The sequence below is a fragment of the Homo sapiens genome, chromosome 6, assembly GCF_000001405.40.
Source record: "Homo sapiens chromosome 6, GRCh38.p14 Primary Assembly".
Lineage (NCBI taxonomy): Eukaryota > Metazoa > Chordata > Mammalia > Primates > Hominidae > Homo > Homo sapiens.
In genome coordinates, this window is record NC_000006.12 from 67,991,629 (window position 1) to 68,013,086 (window position 21,458).

At 36.1% G+C, this 21,458-nt stretch overlaps 1 long non-coding RNA gene across 1 annotated transcript, besides 1 other annotated feature; it reads left to right on the forward strand.

The window, feature by feature from the left end:
- The first annotated feature begins 4,177 nt into the window (after positions 1–4,177).
- On the forward strand, positions 4,178–7,123 carry LOC105377844 (uncharacterized). Its single transcript, XR_942661.3, has 3 exons — positions 4,178–4,257; positions 4,406–4,511; positions 6,426–7,123. It is a non-coding gene; the product is annotated as an uncharacterized LOC105377844 (long non-coding RNA).
- Positions 5,211–6,410: an enhancer, noted in NCBI's record as "MED14-independent group 3 enhancer chr6:68706731-68707930 (GRCh37/hg19 assembly coordinates)". NCBI's record gives its function as "activates an origin of replication core promoter dependent on BRD2, BRD4, P300/CBP and CDK7 cofactors, and independent of MED14, by STARR-seq in HCT116 cells {active_cell/tissue: HCT116}" and the evidence as "EXISTENCE:reporter gene assay evidence [ECO:0000049][PMID:35650434]".
- Positions 7,124–21,458: the final 14,335 nt, after the last annotated feature.

Genomic DNA, 21,458 nt, shown 5'->3' on the forward strand with positions numbered 1-21,458 from the left:
TAGAACAAGCTATGAAGAAAACAATAAGGAATTTATTAAAGTTAAACCTGTCTCTTATGTGAAAAGCATATTTAAAAGAAGATTTAAAAACAAGCCACAGGCTGAGAGAAAATGTTTGCAAAAACACATAGCTGATAAAGAACTTGTATGAAAACACACAAATAACTCTTAAAACTGGTTACTAAGAAAAGAAGGCCGTGCAATAGCTCACACCTGTAATCTCAGCCCTTTGGGAGGCCGACAGGAGACTCACTTGAGGACAGAAATTTGAGATCAGCCTGGGCAACATAGGGAGCCCCATCTCAAAAAAATAAAAAATAAAAAAAAATAAATTAGCCAATCATGATGGCATGCATCTGTAATCCCAGCACACTTTGGGAGGCCAAGGACAGGAGGATTGCTTGGGCCTAAGAGGAGTTTCAGGCTGCAGTGAGCTATGATCACACTATGACATTTCAACCTGTGCAACAGAGTGAGACCCAGTCTCCTAAAAACAAACAAAGGAAAAAAACACGAAATTTTAGAACAGGCTAAAGACTTGAACGGAAGGAATACCAGCATGTAAAATCAGCATGTAAAAAAATACTCAACATCATTTGTCCAGAGAAACTGCAAATTGAAACAAGGATCTATCAGTACATGGCTATTAGATGGTTAAAAAAAAATCGACAATAGGAATAGCTCGTGAATATTCAGAGCAACAGGAACTCTTATTCATTGCAGGTGAGAATGCAAATTGATTCAGACACTTTTAGAAGACTGATAATTTCTAACAAAACTAAACACATTCTTACCCTGTGAAATAAGAATTGCACACTAGGTAGATGTAGAACTGACTAAAATCTTATGTTAACAGAAACAAAGAAAAAAACAACATGTGATTGTTTATGGCAGATAATTACCAAAACTTAGAAGCAAACAAGACTCCATTTAATTAGGTAAATGGACAAACCATGGTCCATACATACAATGGAAATAATATTCAGAAATAAAAATAATGGGTATAGGAAGAAAAACCCCCAAACAAATATATAATACTATGAAATATAACAAAAGTCAGAGAATAGTGTATTAACCAGCAAACTCAATAAATGATAATAATGTAATCAGGCCAGGCGCAGTGGCTCATGCCTGTAATCCTAGCACTCTGGGAGGCCGAGGCCAGTGAATCACTTGAGGTCAGGAGTTCAAGACCAGCCTGGCCAACATAACAAAACCCTGTCTCTACTAAAAATACAAATAGTAGCTGGGTGTGATGGCACGTGCCTGTAATCCCAGCTACTCGGGAGGCTGAGCCAGGAGAATCGCTTGAACCTGGGAGGTGGAGGTTGCAGTGAGCCAAGGCCACAACACAGAGTGAGAGTATGTCTCAAGAAAAGAAAATAATGTAATCAACTAAGATTTGGAAGGAAAATTATTTAATGCATTTACTGCAAAAAATTACTGCAATTGTACTTTTAGTAAAGTATAGTAGAGAAACAGACACCAGATTCCTGAAGTTCGATAGAAAACAAAGAAAGTACCAACTGTAGTAGATGCTCTAATGTACCAATCAGATCCACAATCACAAGAGAAAGGGGAGTTACTCTCCCACCTCTTGGTAGTGTTGACGAAAAAGCCTTCAGACAGACCCTGAAGGCTTTCAGATATTAAACTTCTTTGAGGATTTCCTCCACAGAAGAAAACTACCTTGCCCAAGTTCTCCATACAATCTATATCTAGTGACTGATCAATGTGAGGTATAATGCCAGATAGTTGCTCAAACTGTGTCGACTCTGTAACTGTATCCCAGCTGCAGTGATTTCCATGAAGTTGGCTGAGAGCTTCATCATAGTTTACTCTCTCTTTCCGCCATATTCTACTATCATCCTCTGTCTTTCACAGATGTTAATCTCAAGAGCACTCCCTCATAGACATTAAACTCTAACTTTTGTTTCTTAGACTGCTTTCCAGGGAACTCAACCTGTGAAAGTTATTGTCAGCAGTGATATGTAAGATGGGCTTTTGAAGCAGATCACCTGATGTAGTTGTAAATGAAGACCTCTTCATTGGTGGTAGATGAGGCACAAATAATCCTCAGTAAAATGTAGCAGTGAAATTGCTAAATGAACTGTTTTCTCTTGTATACAAAGGGAAACGCATTTGCTCATTTGATGTTTCAGGTACTTGAAAACTATGGAGGAAATAATTACTACATAGATAGTAGAATTGACTCATGCTGAACTTACTTGATGCTCTGGTAAAGGAATCAAAAACTGGGAGCTATTAACTCAATTAAAAGCTATATATAAAAATCAGAGGATTATCTTGGTAGCATGAAAAGAGGCTCTCATCTCCTGCAGTAGGAGGACATGTTTCAGCAGATTCACAAAAGGTTAAACTCTCAAGGGAGGGAGATAAGTAATAGCCAGGTCAGGGTCTTAGTTGAGAAAAAAATAAAAACATAGCTCTAGATATTTTAATTAAGGCACCCCCAAATCTTTTAAGTCCCACAATTCCCTGGATCCTGGGAGTCCTTTAAATTTCTCAACTATTTGATAGCGGAATTAATGCTCTCGACTTGATTCAAGACTATACAGAGATTTCTCCCCTAACTGACTACACGTACTCCACGTCCTATCCTACTAGGACAGTATGAAAAGTCACAAAATACCAAGCTAGGGACTTTCTAAGCTTACTAACAAGGAGATAACCTTTTCCCAGTGGAGCTATAAGACATAGACATGTACAAGCAGATGCTAAAGGAGTAGTGACAGATCAAGAGAAGTTGGGACATCCACTTGAGTAAGAGTATTTTTCAATATGGAAGCCCTCTTTCTGGATACAGAATTTAATGCCTTGACCAGTTTCCAAAATAATGGTTCCAACATGCTGCTAGAAAGGCACCTAGAAACATGAGATGCAATGCCCCTACACCAATGAGATAGAATTGACATAGCAAATGGTGGAAGAAGGTATTAAAAGCAAAGAAGTGATCATGTCTGAGCAGACACATTAAGCTGAAAACTCACCATATGGTTTATGTCATGAAAAGTCTTGAATGTTGTATCATCATACCATTTCTAACGTGATAAGAAATGTCCTGGTGAGGATAAAGCAGCATCACTAAGAAGTTTAGTAGTGGTTCTCCTTGGTAGTCCAGGGATGACCGTAAGATAATTTGTCTGAGAACTGAGCTTAGCAATGGGAATCATGCTACCAAAACAACCCCAAATCAAACCAAAACAAAACAAAAAAAACAAAAAGCCCAAAAACAACAACAAATAACAAACAAACAAAAAAAAAAAACAGAGTCCAGGTGATGATGCTCAACTATTAGACATCAAGTATACAGAATTATTGTAATAAGAAGTAAAGTCCAAGGGGCGCCAAGGAGAGTGGGCATTTAGAAAGCTAAACACATAAAAATCCCTAGACTCAGAAGAGTATTGCTCAATCTGCACAATAAGGAATTACTAAGGATGGGTAGGCAACAAGCTGAGGGCAATGTTCCTAATAGAGACTCATAAGCCATTATCCTGTTTGTAGACTTGATCCAATTTTATAACTGGACCACATTGAATGAGAGGCCAGGTCTTTAGGAGTAAGGATCCTAAAATACTGTGGCAGTGTACATAATATTGATTCTCTAATAATTCCCTAAAACAACTTCCCACTAATGATTTGGGTAACTGACCATTTGGAAAAATGATTATTCAAGTATTGTAAAACTTTTTGGACACAGTGTTCTATTTGATATTTATACCTGGAGATCAGAAGATTACTATGGGCCCTGTTAGAGTGGAGGTATATGGAAGTCAGGTAATAAACGGAGTCCAGGCCAAGGTTCAAGTCACAGTGGGTCCACTGAATGTGTAGGTTCACCTACTAGTCATTTTCCCAATCCCCAAATGTATTATTGAAATAGACATATTTGGCAGTTACAGTGGGTCATAGACATTCTTAGTGAGTGGGAATCTCTAAAATTCTCTCTCCCAACTACTGGCCAAATAATATCATACTCCAAGCAGAATGGTAAAAAATTAGCACCACCCATAAAGACCTAAAGAATGCTGGCAAAATGATCCACTTTATTTTATATTTTTTACTTTATCAGTTTGCCCTACAAAAATCACACAGATCCTGAAGGCCTGTTTGTGTTTGCAAGGACACAGAGGATGATGACTGCAAACCCAACCAAGAAGTAGCATTGATTACTGCCTCTGTGCTAAATATGGTATCCTTGCTACAACCGATTAATACCTTCTCAAGTACATGGTATGTGGCTACTGATATGATGAATGCATTTTTCTATGCTGTTAGAAGAGGATCAGCAATCCTTCACCTTCCCTTGAAATGAAGGACTGTGTGTATTCCAAAATTTTTCTTTAGGCTATTTTAACCTTCTTTCCTTCTTTTGTAATAGAATCTTATCATATCTGGATACTTGAAACATCCCACAGAACATCAAGTGGTCTGCTATATTAAAGACATAATGCAGAGCAAAAAAGACTAGCACACTAGAAGTCTTGGTAAGACACAAGTATTGCAGATATTTGGCTATAAACCTTATAAAATGCTATGGTTTGAATGTGTCCCCAAAGTTCATATGTTGGAAACTTGACCCCCAATGTGGTAGTGTTGGGAGGTATAGCCTAATGGAAGGTGGTTGAGTCACGAGGGCACTGGCTTCTTGAGTGGATTAATACCACCATTGTAAGAGAGGGTTTGTTATCACTGGAGGGGGTTTCTCATAGAATAACATATTCAGTCCCCTCTTCCTTTCTCTCCTAGCTTAAGTGTACCATTCTGCCCTTCATCATGGGATAATGCAGCAAGAAAACGCTGGCCAGATTTTTGACCCCTATTCTTGTACTTCCCAGCCTTCAAAATTTAATCGAAAAAATTTCTGTTTATTTTAAATTACCCAGTCTGTGGTATTCTGATCTAGTAGCACAAAATTGACTAATACATAAATATTTAAAGACCTCGCATAATAGAAATTTTTTTTTAAGAAATTCAGTAGTCTGAGGCATACACAGACATCCCTTCCATAGTAAAGAACAAATAATTGCATTTTGCACCTCCCACACAATTCCAGACACAATACTGTCTGGAAGGGTTATTTTGGTTATGGAAGTAGTATATTTCACACCTGGGAAAACCAGGTCAAAAAACATACCAATCCATATGTAAAAAAAAAAAAAATCTACTAGCTTTAGTAGGGTGCAGTGTAGAAGTCCTTGGTTATGTCTGACCTGCCAAGTTTTAAGGTCAGATAGACCTAGCACAACCACTTATAAAATGGAAGCACCATATCCATGATCAGAGGGCACAGGCAAGCTACACAGTGGGCAGTTCAAAACCCTGTGTCATACACCATTGTTGCATCAGTATCTCTTCCTCACACCTGCATGGGAAATTCTTTATGACTCTGAAGGAAGAGAAAAAAGACCAAATTTGGTTGATTAATAAGTCAGATTAGTATGTAGGTACAGGCCAAATATGGACAGCTATTAAACTAGAGTTTTACTCAGGGAAGTCTTGAAAGACAGTTAAAAAAAATCATCCAATGGGCAGAGCTTTGTCTTGCGCACCTGTTTATCCAGTGTGTGACAAAGGAAGTGATTCGAGGTTAAAGTATACATGGATTCATTAGAAAATCAGGGTCATGAAAATATGAGGTACAGGCAGGTGGTTGGACATATGGGAGTGAGTATACATGAGGACATTTGTATTGCACGGTAACATGCAATGTATATCTTAAACTTTTAAAAAAAAATATATGGTACACTGTCTCTAGTAGGTACACTATTTTGCTCCTGTAAACAGGGGCTGAAAGCAGAAGTGGTTCCACTTACCATCACTGCCAATAAATCAATTGGAGAATTTATGCTTCCCATTTAGGCTCCATGAGTTCAGAAGTTCTGGTTCTCAAAGAGAGAACATGTCCACCAAAAGCACTGCAAGAATCCCATTGAATTACAAGTCATAGCTGCCACTTGAGATTTTGGGATTTTCATGACAGAAAATCAGCAGGGAAGAAGAGTCAACATCTTGGTATCAGTAATTAAGGTGATAGAGAGGCAACTGAAAACATGGATGACGTTACACAGTGGAAGCAGAAAAAATAGGTTTGGTATATAGACAATTCACTTGTGTACTTCTTGGTGCTCTCTTGCCCATTTGACAGTAAGTGAACAAGTGTGGACACCCTGTTTGAGAAGGGTACTGTGACAAAGGGTACAGATAATTTAAGGATGAGAATTTGAATCACACTACGAAGAAGACCATTAAGACCAGTAGGGGTGCTACCTGAGGATGAGGCAAATGTAGAATGGATAGTAGTTAAGAAAGTGGATGAATATAATTTGAAGTCTTGTGACCAGTAACAGTAGCTGGGACTGTAGTTCATCCTGCTCATCTTCCTTTTCTGATTCTTTCAGGAAGAGAAGCACTCTGGAATCCTAGAAGAACTACTTAAACTTCTGCAGAAGGAAGTGGATCTTAGCAACATAAGAATCAACTATGGTAGTACCTGTGATGCCCCCTCCTGAAAAAAGCCAGCACTAATTTGAAGTGACGAAGCTCATAGGGCACAGAATTTAAGGAGATACACCCTCTCAAGGTCATATGAATGAGCATTTCCTTGAATTTTTTCCTTAGGCACTTCAGTCGATTCACCCTAGTCCCTGCTTGTTCCAGAATTGTCTTTCAAAATGGAAGATTTATCCCTTAGCTACTGGGAGTGTTGTTAGAAGAAAATCTTTATCTAAGCAATCCTTAGGATGGGCTTTGGTTGAAAAAGTGGCCATCCAAAAGTCATAACCGCTACCATTGGCAGCCCATAACCCAAAACTACTGATCAACTAAAAAATGTAAATGCCTGGCTTCCTCTCCCCAAATCAGGACAATTCTGTTGGGCCATCTCAACATCAAAGCTTACTGTGAGGTGGCTGAAAGCTTCACTGGGACTGCATCACAGCTCAACATTTTCTTCATCTTAATACTGCTTCCTTACCCTCTGCACATGTGTTCATCACAAGAGAAATTTCTAATTACTTTCCTTTTCACTAACCTGTATTTCAGAGTCTACTTCTTGGAGGAAATCTTGTGAAACCAAAAATAAATAACAAATACATTATGTTGTTCTGTTAATAATTTTCAGGAGTTTAAGGCGAAAAATATTATCACTCATCAAAACATCCTATGTACTAGATCCACTCAATCTTATTCATTGTAATTTTTCTTAAGTTTTGACTTGAATATTCTCATGTAATTTTTCCCTCACACTCTCCCCACCTCCCTTCCTCTCCTCTCTCCTCTCCTCCTCTCTCTCCCCCAGTTTCTCTTTTCCTCCCCCTTTCTTTTTTTTTTCTTTTTCTAAAGGTGGCTACATGGCTATATAGGCAGTTCTCAGATCAAAACAGTTACATTATACGTCTAACTACAATTCCATTACAGGTACAATCTACATTACTCGAGTGCCTGGACATACTCAGCCTTAATATTAAATATAAGAGCTATTTAATTTGCTAAAACTTGTAAGTCTCTAAGGACATATGAACTTATTCATGAAAATCCTCCTTATGAGGAGAATTCATCTTTTTCAGTCATATGTATGTAACAGTGATCTCTTGACCTATTTCTTATGTCATTTTTATGCCCCATTTTTTCAAGGTTCTATGTACAGACAACACAAATATTAGCTAAAGTTGAATAGCTAGATGTAACTAAATTGACACCCTCCCTAGAATAAAACTAGTTAGAAAAAGATTTGCTCTCTAGACTGAATAATTAAGAAAATGCTCTACTTCTTTTAGGCTAAGCTAGCTTAGAGATATGGCCATGGCTGGGAGCAGGTTTCTTGCTAGATTTCATGTACTGTGGCTAGAATGATTTGTTCAAATGCATACAGCACAGCATCAGAGTGTATCTGATTCCTATTATCCCTTCTAAAAATTCTGCTTATAGACAGCCATAGAAGTTTATTGGATTATATCTGGGTGATAAAATATGGTTAGATGCATTCAAACAAAGCCTTCATTAATATTCTAGCAAGTCGCACCTGTGACTTTATGTGTGTCCAATTATGGAGACCTTTATAAAAATATATATTTATAGTGTGGTTGGAAGTCAGCTTTTCCAAAAATCAATAATTTTTGTTCAAAATTTTTTTTTTGCCTATCACATTGTTTTGGAAATCAGATTTTTAAAAGACTGGGCTGTGAGGCTTAGTGTGATGTAGTTATTATTTAAACCATTCAGAAAAAAAAAAAACAAAAAAACTAATGTTGCTTCATGATTTTATTTCCCGTAGAAATCCCCCAGGAAAGATTGCAAAAAAGAACATGGATTCTAGTGAAAATATAAGCTCTTAGCTTTGTTAATCAACCAGAAAAAAATGAAAATGTTTCTGTTATAAAGCACAAAAACAGATTTTCTGTCTATAAAAAATTTGCAGTCTAGACTCTGAAATTTTTAACTTGAAAGTTGTAACCATTATTTGAATTTTCTCCTGCTTTGCAATTAGTCATAGATAGACTTACAGAATTGGAGGAGCTGAAGTTTGGCTTAGTTGACCATATGAAAAATTGGATATTCGCCAGTTGACACTCTGATTTATCCTGACATTTGAAATGTTTATCCAAACCAAAATTATTTTTTAGCAGGTGCAGATATCCTTATTTACCAGATAAATGAGCTCTTCCTTTTCCCTTGTCTTTTATTATCCTTTAGCAAATATCTTTTAGGTTCTACCCATCTCTCTAATCAGTAGCTTGACAAGAGAAGAAAATCAGTAGATCTATGTATCATATGACAACACTTAAGGGCTCTGCCTGTGTTCATTACAGGGTGATTCCTGTTTATATTTCCAGCTGAGTTTGTGAAAGTCTGGCATGAGCAAAACTTTTACTGAGAGGTCTTACATCACAAGGAAATTGGCTTTCGCTTTATTCGGGATATATTTTTAAGAGAATCGCACTAATATTCTAAGCTTTGCGAAGGTTGAGACAGTGTTTAATTTGGTTGTTGTTTACTTTTATCTCCTCAGTGCCTTGCACAGTGACATCCAGCAGACGCTCAGTAAATACATGACACTCAATGAATATATGCCTTCTTTTTATTTATCTTCAAAAGTTGAGTACTGCTTTAGAATTAGATTCATATTCCACTCTATTTTTTTCAGTCCCTCTATACATCATGTAGTTTTTGAGGTGTGGTCATATATATTTACTCTTTAAGTCTCCCTGAAATGCTTCAAAAGAAAGATATTCTTGAGTTTGAGATTAGACATAAGAACCACAGCAACAGTACGTTATGGCCTCAAGTGATCATAGTCAGGATACAAACTCAGGTTTTTATTAAATTAGTGCTCTGTGATCTTTCCATCAAACTGTAATGGTTTCTCTTTTTAATGTGCGAATTTTGTTTTTTTAACATTTTTTAATTTTAATTTTTTGTAGTTACATAGTAGGTATATATATATTTATGGAGTACATGAGATGTTTTGATATAGGCATGTAATGCCTAATAATCTCATCACGGAGAATGGGTTATCTGCCTTCTCAAGCATTTATCCTTTGTGTTAGAAATAATCCCATTATATTATTTTAGTTATCTTAAAATGTATAATTAAATTATTATTGACCGTAGTTATCCTATGTACTACCAATACTGTCTCATTTATTTAAACTATTTTTCTTTTACCCATTAATCATCCCCACCTCCTCCTCACTCCCACTGCCACTCCCAGTACCCTTCCCAGCCTCTGACAACCCTCCTTCTATTCTTTATCTCCATTAGTTCAATTGTTTTGATTTTTAGATCCCACAAAATAAGTGAGAACATGTGATGTTTGTCTTTCTCTGCCTGGCTTATTTCATTTCACATAATGACTTCCAGTTCCATCCATGTTGTTGCAAATGAGGATCTCATTCTTTTTTGTGGCTGAATATGTAATGGTTTCTGAAAGGAATATAGAGAGTCTAAAAGAGATATGAATCCACTATTTTATTTAACATTAAGGAAGTTATAGAATGGCAATATTAAGGTAACAAAAGAGAAAACTTTGACGGAGTTAGGTTTTAAAAATAGGGAGAGGGAAATACAGATAGGACTAAAGGACTCAAAGTTAAAAGGTGTAAGAAATGAAGATCTTGGAATGACAATCTACCAGTAGGTGGAAAAGTTCAGAAAATATAGAATTGAAAGGTGGAAGCAAAATGCTAAAATGAATATTTGGCAAAATAATAGTTTAGAAAGAATTTGATTAAAATGCCTTGGAAATAACCTATGGTAGAAATAAATAGTTGTAATTTTCTCTTCTGTCTCACTCTGAGCAGCAAATGCTTTCAAGTTCTTCATTATGTCCACGGGTGATTCAGATGCCTATATAACCTCATGGTGGTTGTATTAGTCAGGGTTCTCTAGAGGGACAGAACTAATAGGATATATAGATATCCTATTAGAAAATCAGGAAACCTATGTATCATATGACAACACTTAAGGGCTTACGTAGATATAAGATATATCTATATTTATCTATCTATCTATTTATCTATCTATCTATCTATCTATCTATATAGAGATATCTCTAAAGAGGAGTTTATTAAGTATTAACTCACATGATCACAAGATCCCATAATAGGACCTCTGCAAGCTGCGTATCAAGGAGAGCCAGTTTGAGTCTCAAAACTGAAGAACTTGGAGTCCTATATCCAAGGGCAGGAAGCATCCAGCAGGGGAGAAAGATGTAGGCTGGGAGACTAGGCCGGTCTACTCTTTTCACATTTTTCTGCCTGCTTCATATTCTAGCTGTCATGGCAGCTGATTAGATGGTGCCCACCCAGATTAAGGGTGGGTCTGCCTTTCCCAGCCCACTGACTCAAATGTTAATCTCTTTTGGCAACACCCTCACAGACACACCCAGGATCAATACTTTACATCCTTCAATCCAATCAAGATGACACTCAGTATTAACCCTCACAATGTTATTGACAAGAGTCTTTAATGTGTGTTCTGGTTTTGGGGTTCTAAACTTCTGCCTGACTAAAAATTAATCTCTGCTTATGAGTGCTATAATTTCTCCCATGTCAACTGGTCTCTTACTAACTTTCTTTTCTACAGCATGTATAGTTTCACCAGACTTACTGAACTCTTGGGTATTTTGATCATCTAACACTTCCCTTTTTTAGGGATCCCCATTCTCCTCTCATATAAGGCTACCACAGAACGTATTTTCTAGGGCCCTCCATCTTTTGATTCCCTAACTTGAGTTACACAGGCCAACATGGTCTCCATGTTACTATTTCACCCTATGTGTTAGACAACATGCCATGTAAGTACACTTTTACCCCTAATTTACTTTGGCAACTTTCAGATCTCAAATTCTGACTTTGCCATTGTCTAAGAGTTTAAATAAAACATAGGATAATCTGACTGACTTAAACCATATGATATTCCCACTTACCTAACTTTCTAAACAAAATAAAATAAGCACTCTGAGTATTTCTACCTCCAGCAGGGCCTCAGCTTTGTTGCAATGTGGTCATTTGGCTGAATGCTACACCTCCAATGTAGGAGAATGTCACAGCATTCAGTGGCTACATAAGGCACCGATGCATGATGGAGATACTAATATTGGAGTCACGGGAAGTATGAGGACTCAGTAATAAATAACATTATGAGTATAAGAGATAGCATCAAATATCCAGTAACTCTACTTTTATCGTGGCCATTGAGGATACCATGTAGAATCTTGCTATAAATGTCTTTCCATTTTAGAATCTGATTCTACTTCAAACAATTTTTTTAAAATTTCTACTTCTAGGATTTGGCTGACAAACCACCTTGTTGGTTTCACAGATTTAGGTTCTCCCATAGATAGAAGAACCTCCATATTGTTGCAATTTGGCTGGGGAGTCCCATTTTACAACTCTTGTCCTATTGTCACAGCAAGTTTAGAATGTATTTCAGATTTTTTTCATTTGAAATTAATAGACATTAATAACAAAGTACTTTTAATTAATAGTAAATCTGAGTTTTATAAACATCCATTTTGTCCTTTCAGCTTCTGCCTAGCGGTCTTGTCTACTAATGGGAGATACAAGTACACTGAACAAAGTTTTCAATTTTACAAATGTCAAACCTGAAAGTATAAATTGCCCATTTTCCTTTTTCTCACCCTTTCTAGACACTACATTACTAACACCTCTCTTCCAAGAATAACATGAAAGAGTATCACTCAAAATGGTTTGTGCTCAGATGTAAGCAGCTCAGCACTGCTAAGTCCTTCTATTGTCTAAGCTGGTGGGAAAAGCAATTTATGCTGTGGCTTCTGCAGGAAATATGTTGTACCAACCAGTGAGCACATGTCCCATGTCTTGGCCTTTAAAGTGTGTGCAGCCACCATGCCAACATTCAGCAGTCAGTGGGAAAAATCAGGAATTATAGGTTAGGTGTGTATGAAATATGTTGATAAATAGGATTTCAGTAGTTCTGTCTTAGAACCTATAGAAAATATTCTGGATGCTGTTGCTACAGAGATTTTGACTTTTACAAAATGCTGTAAGACTATTTATTTATTTTTAGCGATTGTAATGCTATTTTTAAATGTTATAACTTTTTAGGTAGTAATAAATTTAAAATACAAAAGGGCATATTTAATGAAAAAATCACAAATTAACTTTGTCTCTTAAAACATATTAAAAATAAATGAATAACTGTCTTTAAATGTATGCTGACATTTATTATCCACCATTGGCACCAGAGTGACACCATTAATCACATAAAGCTCATAAAACACTCAATTTCACAATTTGTCTATGTAATAAACTTACTTATGTAACCCTGAACCTAAAATAAGTATATATATATATATAGCCAGGTATGACTATATGACTATGTTTAAAAAAAAGAAACAAAAAGACCATAAGAAACAAAAATGCTGAAGCAATATTAGCATCTGATTCATATGTTAGAAATTATTTTAAAACAATTGCATTCAAAGATATGATTTAACATATCCAGCTACAGAAGTTGCATATAGGAAAAGTACGACTTTTCATGTAAATTAAAAATGACCATGGTTCTAAATGACTTCTGCACATTTTTTATTAAAAGTTTTAAATACATTTTTATAATATGAAATGATGGCTTTTAAGGTATTAGCTACAGAAACAGAAGAATACTTTTTCAAATAGTTAAATAATGTCAAAATTGTATAAGTATTATCAGGTAACTAAATAGAAAATTAGTAATTTCTAAGATAAGCTTGACTTTTATGTTTTAAGAGTTACTACAGTTGACATAAACTGCAGATATTATTGTGACTGCACTATTGCAAAAAAAGTTAAATTCAATACTGAAGATAAAATTGTCTTTATAGTGATTATATAAATACACATTTTATTAAAGCATATTGTTATGATAAAAGCAATAATCCTACTAAATTAAGAAGGTTTCAGAGCAGAAAGATACTTAAAATTGATTACAGTAAACATATACATGTATAATTATATTCACATAGGCTTAAATAATCTATCAATTAAAGTCCAAGTTTACAGATGTAAAACATTTAAAACATTATGTACATAAAGAAACTGAACTAAAGTATTTTGTGATATTTGATGTAAAATTTCATAAGTATATAAGTACATAATCAGTAAGACAGTATATCATTTATTGTTTTAGGAACATCTCTAAGATTATAGAAAAGTCTAGGCAGTTGAAAAACTACTTTGTATATTAACTTAAATGTCATTCAGCAGTATTGGATCTCATTAGATCTATCTAGGTTCCCTTTGTAACCCCACTATTTTTATCTACCGGGTACCTTATAAACTAATACTTAGATTTAATCATTGGTATCATTAGTCCTGGATTTCTCTACTTTTGAATCATGAGGATGTCAAAAGTAGTTAATTTAAAAGATGCTAACATTGCTGTCACCTAAGTTCAGTCTCTTGACTTTTAGCCAAGCCTCCTGGGTTCTCATGAGTCCTACACTACCATTAATGGCAAGAATTTAAGATTTTGCCATGAAAACCACAGAAAAAAATTATTGGTGGCCCCTTTTCTCAAAAGTCTTCCATATATTTATGTTGTAATTCTTATCCTCTACCCTCGGTGAAATAATCTTTAAGCATAGACCATTTCTCTTTAAACATTGTACTCCTCTCATTCAAAGGGAGCATTGATCATAATCACATGAACAAGTTTCCATGTCTGGACTAGTAAACTAGATTTCCTCAAGGTAGTTACCCAAGTTATTTTTATAAAAATATGTCCCCTCCCTGACCAGAGCACTACAAGATAAGTGCACTGCTCTGAACAATGCCAAGGAGCGGTAATTATACAGATGTGAGGGTGATCTTGCCAAAGCATCTGGTACCCAATGATCCATAATGCTCCGTGTGTGTTCGTCTGGAACCACTCTGCTTAGTCAATGAGGACTAGACAATAATATATAAATTGCAATAACATACAAATTGTTTTTCTTCTAGAACTCCTAAGATTGAAAAATACACATAGACACAAAAGAAACTCTGATAACACACCCCCATTAGAATCCCCATGCTCAGCTGCACAACAGTTGATATTCCCCTCATTCAGCGTATTATCTCAGTGTGTCAGACATGATGAGCTTTAAAGGGTAACTGCAACAAAGAGATTTCCTCTTTCTTTTTTTTATTTTATTTTATTTTTGCCAGAGTCTCGCTCTGATGCCCAGGCTGGAGTGCAGTGGCGCCATCTCTGCTCACCGCAACCTCTGCCTCCAGGGTTCAAGCAATTCTCCTGCCTCAGCCTCCGGAGTAGCTGGGATTACAGGCGCATGCTGCCATGCCCGGATAATTTTTTATATTTTAGTAGAGAGGGAGTTTCACCGTGTTGCCCAGGCTGGTCTAGAACTCCTGAGCTCAGGCAATCTGCCTGCCTAGTCCTCCCAAACTATTAGGATTACAGGTGTGAGTCACCGAGCTCAGACCAAGAAGTTTCCTCTTTCACTCATTCACTTAGTCAAGTAGTCAATAAGTTTTTATAGAGCACCTAAAAATGTTACTCACTTTACCAGAACTAAGAATATTATATTGAATAAGAAAAACTTGGTTTTTATCCTTCTTGTTTAGTGAATAGAGTAAATAAACTAATAAATTCCAATGAAGGAAAAGATCAGAGAGTCAGAGAATAAAAATATAAAGGTGTACATTTGTGTTGGGAAAATGAACTACTTAACACTGAGTGATGAGAAAAGGCTTCTCTGACAAGGTAATCTTAAATTTGGAAATGAAGGTTGAGATGAAGCCAGCCGTGCTTTAGCACGAGAAGAGTTTTTTAGCAAAGAGATTGATTTGTGTAAAGGTCCTGAGGTTGAAAAGAGTTTGCACTATATTAAAAACTGAAAAATGCTTGTTAGGCTGAGGCGTAGTAAACAAGGTGGATTTGTGGCATGAGATGAGGCCAGAGAGTTGAGCAGGAATCACATGAAGTAGAATCCTGTGAGCAATGGAAGAATAATGTGATGTATATTTTAAGCAGGGAATTGATACAAACCTGTTTACATTATTAAAAGATTCCTTATTACTGTGTAGAAAATAAACTGGGGGAGATGATGGACATGGCAAGAGAGGTACTTAATGGAATAAGCCCATCCAGCGATAAAAAATTAATCTCTGCTTAAAACCAAACTGAGAGTCCTTCTTTAGTACATTATTTACAGTCTTATTCCATTTAGAGATCTGAGTTATCTGTTATGTATTTATATAAGAGGTAAAATGATAAAATTGAAAATAAGTTACCATTCACACTTCTATTTATTTATGTAGAAATATTTTCACAATATAAATACTGCAGATACAAGCTGTGTTGTTTTTCCCATTGCAAACACTTTGTAATTCAAACACATCTGATTTATATTGATTTTAAATTTAGCACTGAGAGAAAACACTTACATGCTCTATAACATTGTTAAGCATCACAAATAAAATTAGAAGATGAATTATCATTGCTTTTCTAAGTTGTAAATTAGATGACTCACCATGTAGGAAAAATGACTCCATGATCATTGACTAGTTTATAATTTGAATTATAAGTTAGGCACCATGATGTGTTTTCTGTTACAAAATTCATGATCTGGCATTAGATCATGTATTCTTATCTTGCATTCAGTTAAGCAATAAAATACTGAATTTATTTATTGAATAAAACTTAAGATATAGCATCTGGCTTTCCCCCAAATTATGGTGGTTGTCAACTGTGCTGATGCTGTATCATCTATGAACCTCCTGTTTCATTTCATTACCTGATCATTTAAAGTCATGCAGGTCCAAAATTTCCCCATTGTTATATTTATACACTCTTTTCAACTGTATTTAAAAGTCCTCATTTATTCTAGAACATAAGATTGATAATAGACATGTGTCATTATGAAAGTTTGCTTGGCTGAAAAAAACAAAGTCCAAAAAAAGGACTGTGTTTAATTTAATCCCCCAGCCAGAGAGATTTAATTAAAAATAGTCATAGTTACCTAATCCTGTATCTCTAAGTTAAGTTGCCATGAGAATGTCTAGTGCTTAGATACTGTTAATTTTTTAAGAAAGTATTGTTTGCTTTAGAAAATTGTGGATCTCTCTTTGCTTTGGTTCCATAGATTAATGTTTTTCTTCATGGACAGGCAGCCGATATTTTTCTAGGGCACTAGATATGGTGCTGTTAGGAAATCTCCAAAAACTAGACCCAGCCCATGACTCAAAACATTTTTGCTGTTGGTAGAAATAACTTTTTTTCACATATAAAACAAATTATGTAATTTCATAGAGTGTTCACAGAGTTTATATATAGATCCCAGTGCTTGTTACCACTAATATGTATGAGTGCATATACCTTTTTGCAATAAAAGATAATACATAGAGATCGTGATAAATACTTTTAGTTTATTTCCATATGTCAGTAGGATATGTAGGAAATGAGGTGACTAACTGAAACCACATCAACTTTCCATGCATCAGACTTTGAGGCTTCAGACAATGGTTTTCTCTGCCTGAAATGCCTTCTCACCCAGTTTCACTTTCTTAGTCAATTGCTAATGATTTTTGAGATCTCAACTCAGATGTCTCTTGCTCAGGGGAGCCATTCATGCTTATTCAAACTAGGTCGATGCTTCTGTTTTAGATTCATATAACAACACTGTAGTTTTCTTTACAGTATGTTTTATGAAAGTTTTCAATGTGTGTAAATATTTGTTTATTGCTTTCTCCCTCTCTTGACCATAAGCTCCATGAAAGCAGTGGCCAGGATTCTTTTTACACACGTCTGAAACGCTAGCTCTTAGCATTATGCTCAACACATAATGAGCACTCAACAGTCGGGCTAAATGCTGAAGGACAGACACTTGTAGAGCCAGGAGTGAAAGAATACATTTAAAGAATATGTTTTATAAGGCATAATGGAGAGAAACATAGCCTGATTAAATCAGCTAATGGAGGTTCCATTATTTAAAATCTGAAATCAGAATAAATGTACGTTAAATATTCCGCGCTACAGGTATAAAGGCTATTTTTGAATTCCAACCTTGTAGGATAAAAATAGTATGAGGCCGGGTGCGGTGGCTCAAGCCTGTAATCCCAGCACTTTGGGAGGCCGAGGCAGGCGAATCACGAGGTCGGGAGATCGAGACCATCCTGGCTAACAAGGTGAAACCCCATCTCTACTAAAAATACAAAAAAATTAGCCGGGCGTGGTGGCAGGCCCCTGTAGTCCCAGCTATTCGGGAGGCTGAGGCAGGAGAATGGCGTGAACCCGGGAGGCGGAGCTTGCAGTAAGCCGAGATCGCGCCACTGCACTCCAGCCTGGGCGACAGAGTGAGACTCCACCTCAAAAAAAAAAAAAAACAAAAAACAAACAAAAAAAACAACAAAATAGTATGAGACACACAAAATTATATGTGTGTGTATATATATATATGTATATATATATATATGTATATATATATATGTATATATATATGTATATATATATATATATGAAAGATAATACATAGAGATCATGATAAATACTTTTAGTTTATTTCCATGTGTCAGTAGGATATATATCACTAATACAGGAAGAATTTTTAAAAAACAATAGTATACATGATCAGAACATTAACAGATCTTGATCTTAATCCTACCAGAATAAGACTTTATACAGGTTTTTTGTGAAAACAAAAAAGGAAAAGAGCTACTGGCATCCCAATGTAGAATGTAAGGTCTTTGGTCAGAATATTACATTAAACATACATTTCAGCACCAAATTAAGATATTTATCTTTTCTCTTTTGTATGCAAAAGTCTCTACTTTAAAAACCTCTACAATTTGTTTTCTAAATAGATACTTAACTAATACGGAAATTTGTCACCAACATCCTTGGACCTAGAGTGAGTAATAGTACCTACTGTCATTAGTATCAGCAAAAATCCAGATTTCATTCATAAGAGACCTTCAATCACAGAAGCTCTTGGTTGTGCTGAAGGTCATCTTTCATATGCAATGTACACTGCAAGGTAGCAGGGGCCATGATGGTGACAGGAAGGCCTATCTATCCTCCATAGTGAGGTTTGTGGATAATAGTGGCATGGCTTTTGAAAAGCTGGACTCTAAGGACCTGGAAGTGTACTGGATAGGCATGAAGTTCTGTGTGTGTTCCAGTTGTCAAATGGGAGTGAGTAGTGAGGCAATGGGAGAGGAGATCCAAATGAGTGTATCAACAAGACAGGAAGCAATAATAATGCCGTGTTAGCTTAGCCTTGAGTTCATACTGTGTGGTCAAATGCATTTCTCACCAATTTAGTTATTTGAGGAAAGAAAAGTATGGTAGGCTGTATAAAGGTCCTCCAAAAATGTCCATGTCCTAATGTTTCTTAATCTTTGGTATCTGTGAACATGTTACCTTACATGGCAAAAGGTACTTTGTAGATGTAAGTAAATTAAGGACCAGGAGATAGATAGGATGATTACTTTTGGTTTGCACAATCTAAGGCTCCTTACAAGAAAGAAGTAAGAAGGTCATAATTAGAGTCAGAGATAGAGAAGTACATACAAAAACAGGGGTGTGTGTGAGACAGAGACAGAGAGAGAAAAAAACAAGAAAGAAAATAGGATTTGAAGATGCTCCACTGCAGGCTTTGAAGATAGAAAATTTAAAGATAGAAAAAAGAGCCAAAAACTAAGGAACTGGGGTGGCTACTATAAGCTGGAAAAGACAAGGAACAAAATTCTCATCTAGAGCCTCTAGGAGAAATGCAACCATGCTAACCTATTTTGGATTTCTGACCCCCGGAACTATAAAATTTTTAAAAAGTATGTACTTATTTAGCCACTAAGTTTGTCATGATTTATTAAAGCAGCTGTAAGGGACCTAATACAGAAAGAAAGAGTTTCTGTGAGATTTATATGGAATACGACAGAAAAAGGAACAGTGAGCCCAAAGTTGTTATGTCTTCAGGACCTGATTACCATGCCATGAATCTTTCTAGCTAACAGACTGCAGGCAGCAGAAACTGGCAGAGTCTTTTCTCAGCGTAGAATAAAGAGACAAAGAGAGATGCATAGCCATGTTTTAGAAAGCCAGATAATTATGAATACGAAAGAAATGAATATGAGATTAAAGTTGTTTGATACGGATGTAGTTTTGAAAACTAATATTTGATGTGTGCTGTGTTTCTTTGAAACTTCAGAGTTTGCTGCCTTAGGTTCCACAGAAATCTTTGAGAAAGAAGCATGACTAGAATTCCAGCCTTAATAAGTAAACAAACTGAAGCCCAGAAAGAGTAAGACATTTGTGCAAAAGCGCAAAATGGCTTTCTTCTGACTCAAAATAAAATGATATTTCTAACAGAGAATAATTATCTCTGAAAGGATTTTAAACTATGATTTACAATGTAATAGGTATGTAGCCAATATGTAAGCATTAAAGGGGTATGAAATAAGTGAATTGTCATAATGAGGATTAGTTGGAATGAGTATTTGGTGGGGGATGAGTTTTGAATTACTAGCAAGTATAGTACAAAGATAATGACAGTTGGTTCTGCTTGGAGTACCATCATTAAGTTTGCAGTGAAATATTCAGCATTACATTCTTTTTGTTTGAGTTTTCCCAGATTTAACTGTGAAAATTATCCCAGCCTATGAATTTTTCTTTAAGTTACACCTCTGCCAGCACCCTACCCATTCCCGGTAGTCCCCTGGAACACCAATGAATGTCTGAGTCAGTCTGGATGTCTCCCAGCCCAGCTTCCCAGAGTCTGACATGCCAAAGGGCACAAGATATCATGTTTTCAGGTGACTGTCACTCTCAGGATGTGATAAAGGCAAAACCAGGACCCTCTGAACGGGCATCAGGACCTGAGGGCCTGTGTTGTTTTGTCAACATATGAGCAGGAGAAAGAGACCAAAGGAGTTTCTTGGCACGACTTGAATCATATTCATTCCAGAGATGCAAAAGAGAGCCATAGTGTATCAATTTCATTGATACATCTGGAAATTGAAAGGCTCTATTTATTTACTTAATCGCTGCACATTTCTTGGCCAGGCCTGATGTGACATGACTTTACAGTAATAATAAACAAAACAGACAAGGTCCTTGATCTCCCATAGTTTACAGTCTCATTGGGAAGAAACTTAATAAACAGGAGAATGGTTAAATAAATACATAGTTATCATTGAGGAAAATAATTGAGCAGATTGATAGGAGAGAATATATAGGAATAGAAACCCAATTTAGCTTGCATAGTCAGAAAGGACTATTCTGAGAGAAAGACATTAAAATTGAGACCCAGTAGGGAAAGAGGAAACAAGTAATGTCAAGATGCCTGGAAAGATATCAGAAAGAGGGGCTAGCATTTTCAAAGGCCTGAAGAAGAAGCGGCTTGAGGTTTTAAAAAAAATTCTGTGTGAAAAAGAACATAGTGAGAAAGGGTAAAAGTGGTATGATAGAAGATCAAAGAGTAGGTAAAGATGAGTTCATGAGAGGTTATTGTTAAAATGTAAATAAACTAGGATTTATTCAAAGTTCAATGGAAAGTAATGGACAGTTTTTAGGCACAGCCTTCAGTTCTAAAAATGAGGTTCTAATTAAAATTCATAAGAGTTGTGATTAGTCAATGTGGAACTTAAGATGTGGTGGTAGAAAGAAAAGGTGCCTTATAAACTATTTTTAATGTTTTAAATGTCAGTGCATACTGAAGTACCTAGCAAAATGTATTAAATATTATATGATTAATGAAGTAAAGTAAAAAGGAAGGAAAGAAGGAAAGATGGAAGGAAGGAAGGAAGGAAGGAAGGAAAGAAGGGAGGGAAGGAGGGAGGGAGGGAAGGGAAGGGAAAGGAAGGGAGGGAGGGAAGAAGGAAGGAAAGAAGGAAGGAAGCAAGGAAGCAAGGAAGAGAGGGAGGGAGGGAGAGAGAGAGGGAAGAAGGAAGGAAGGAAGGAAGGAGAGAAAGAGG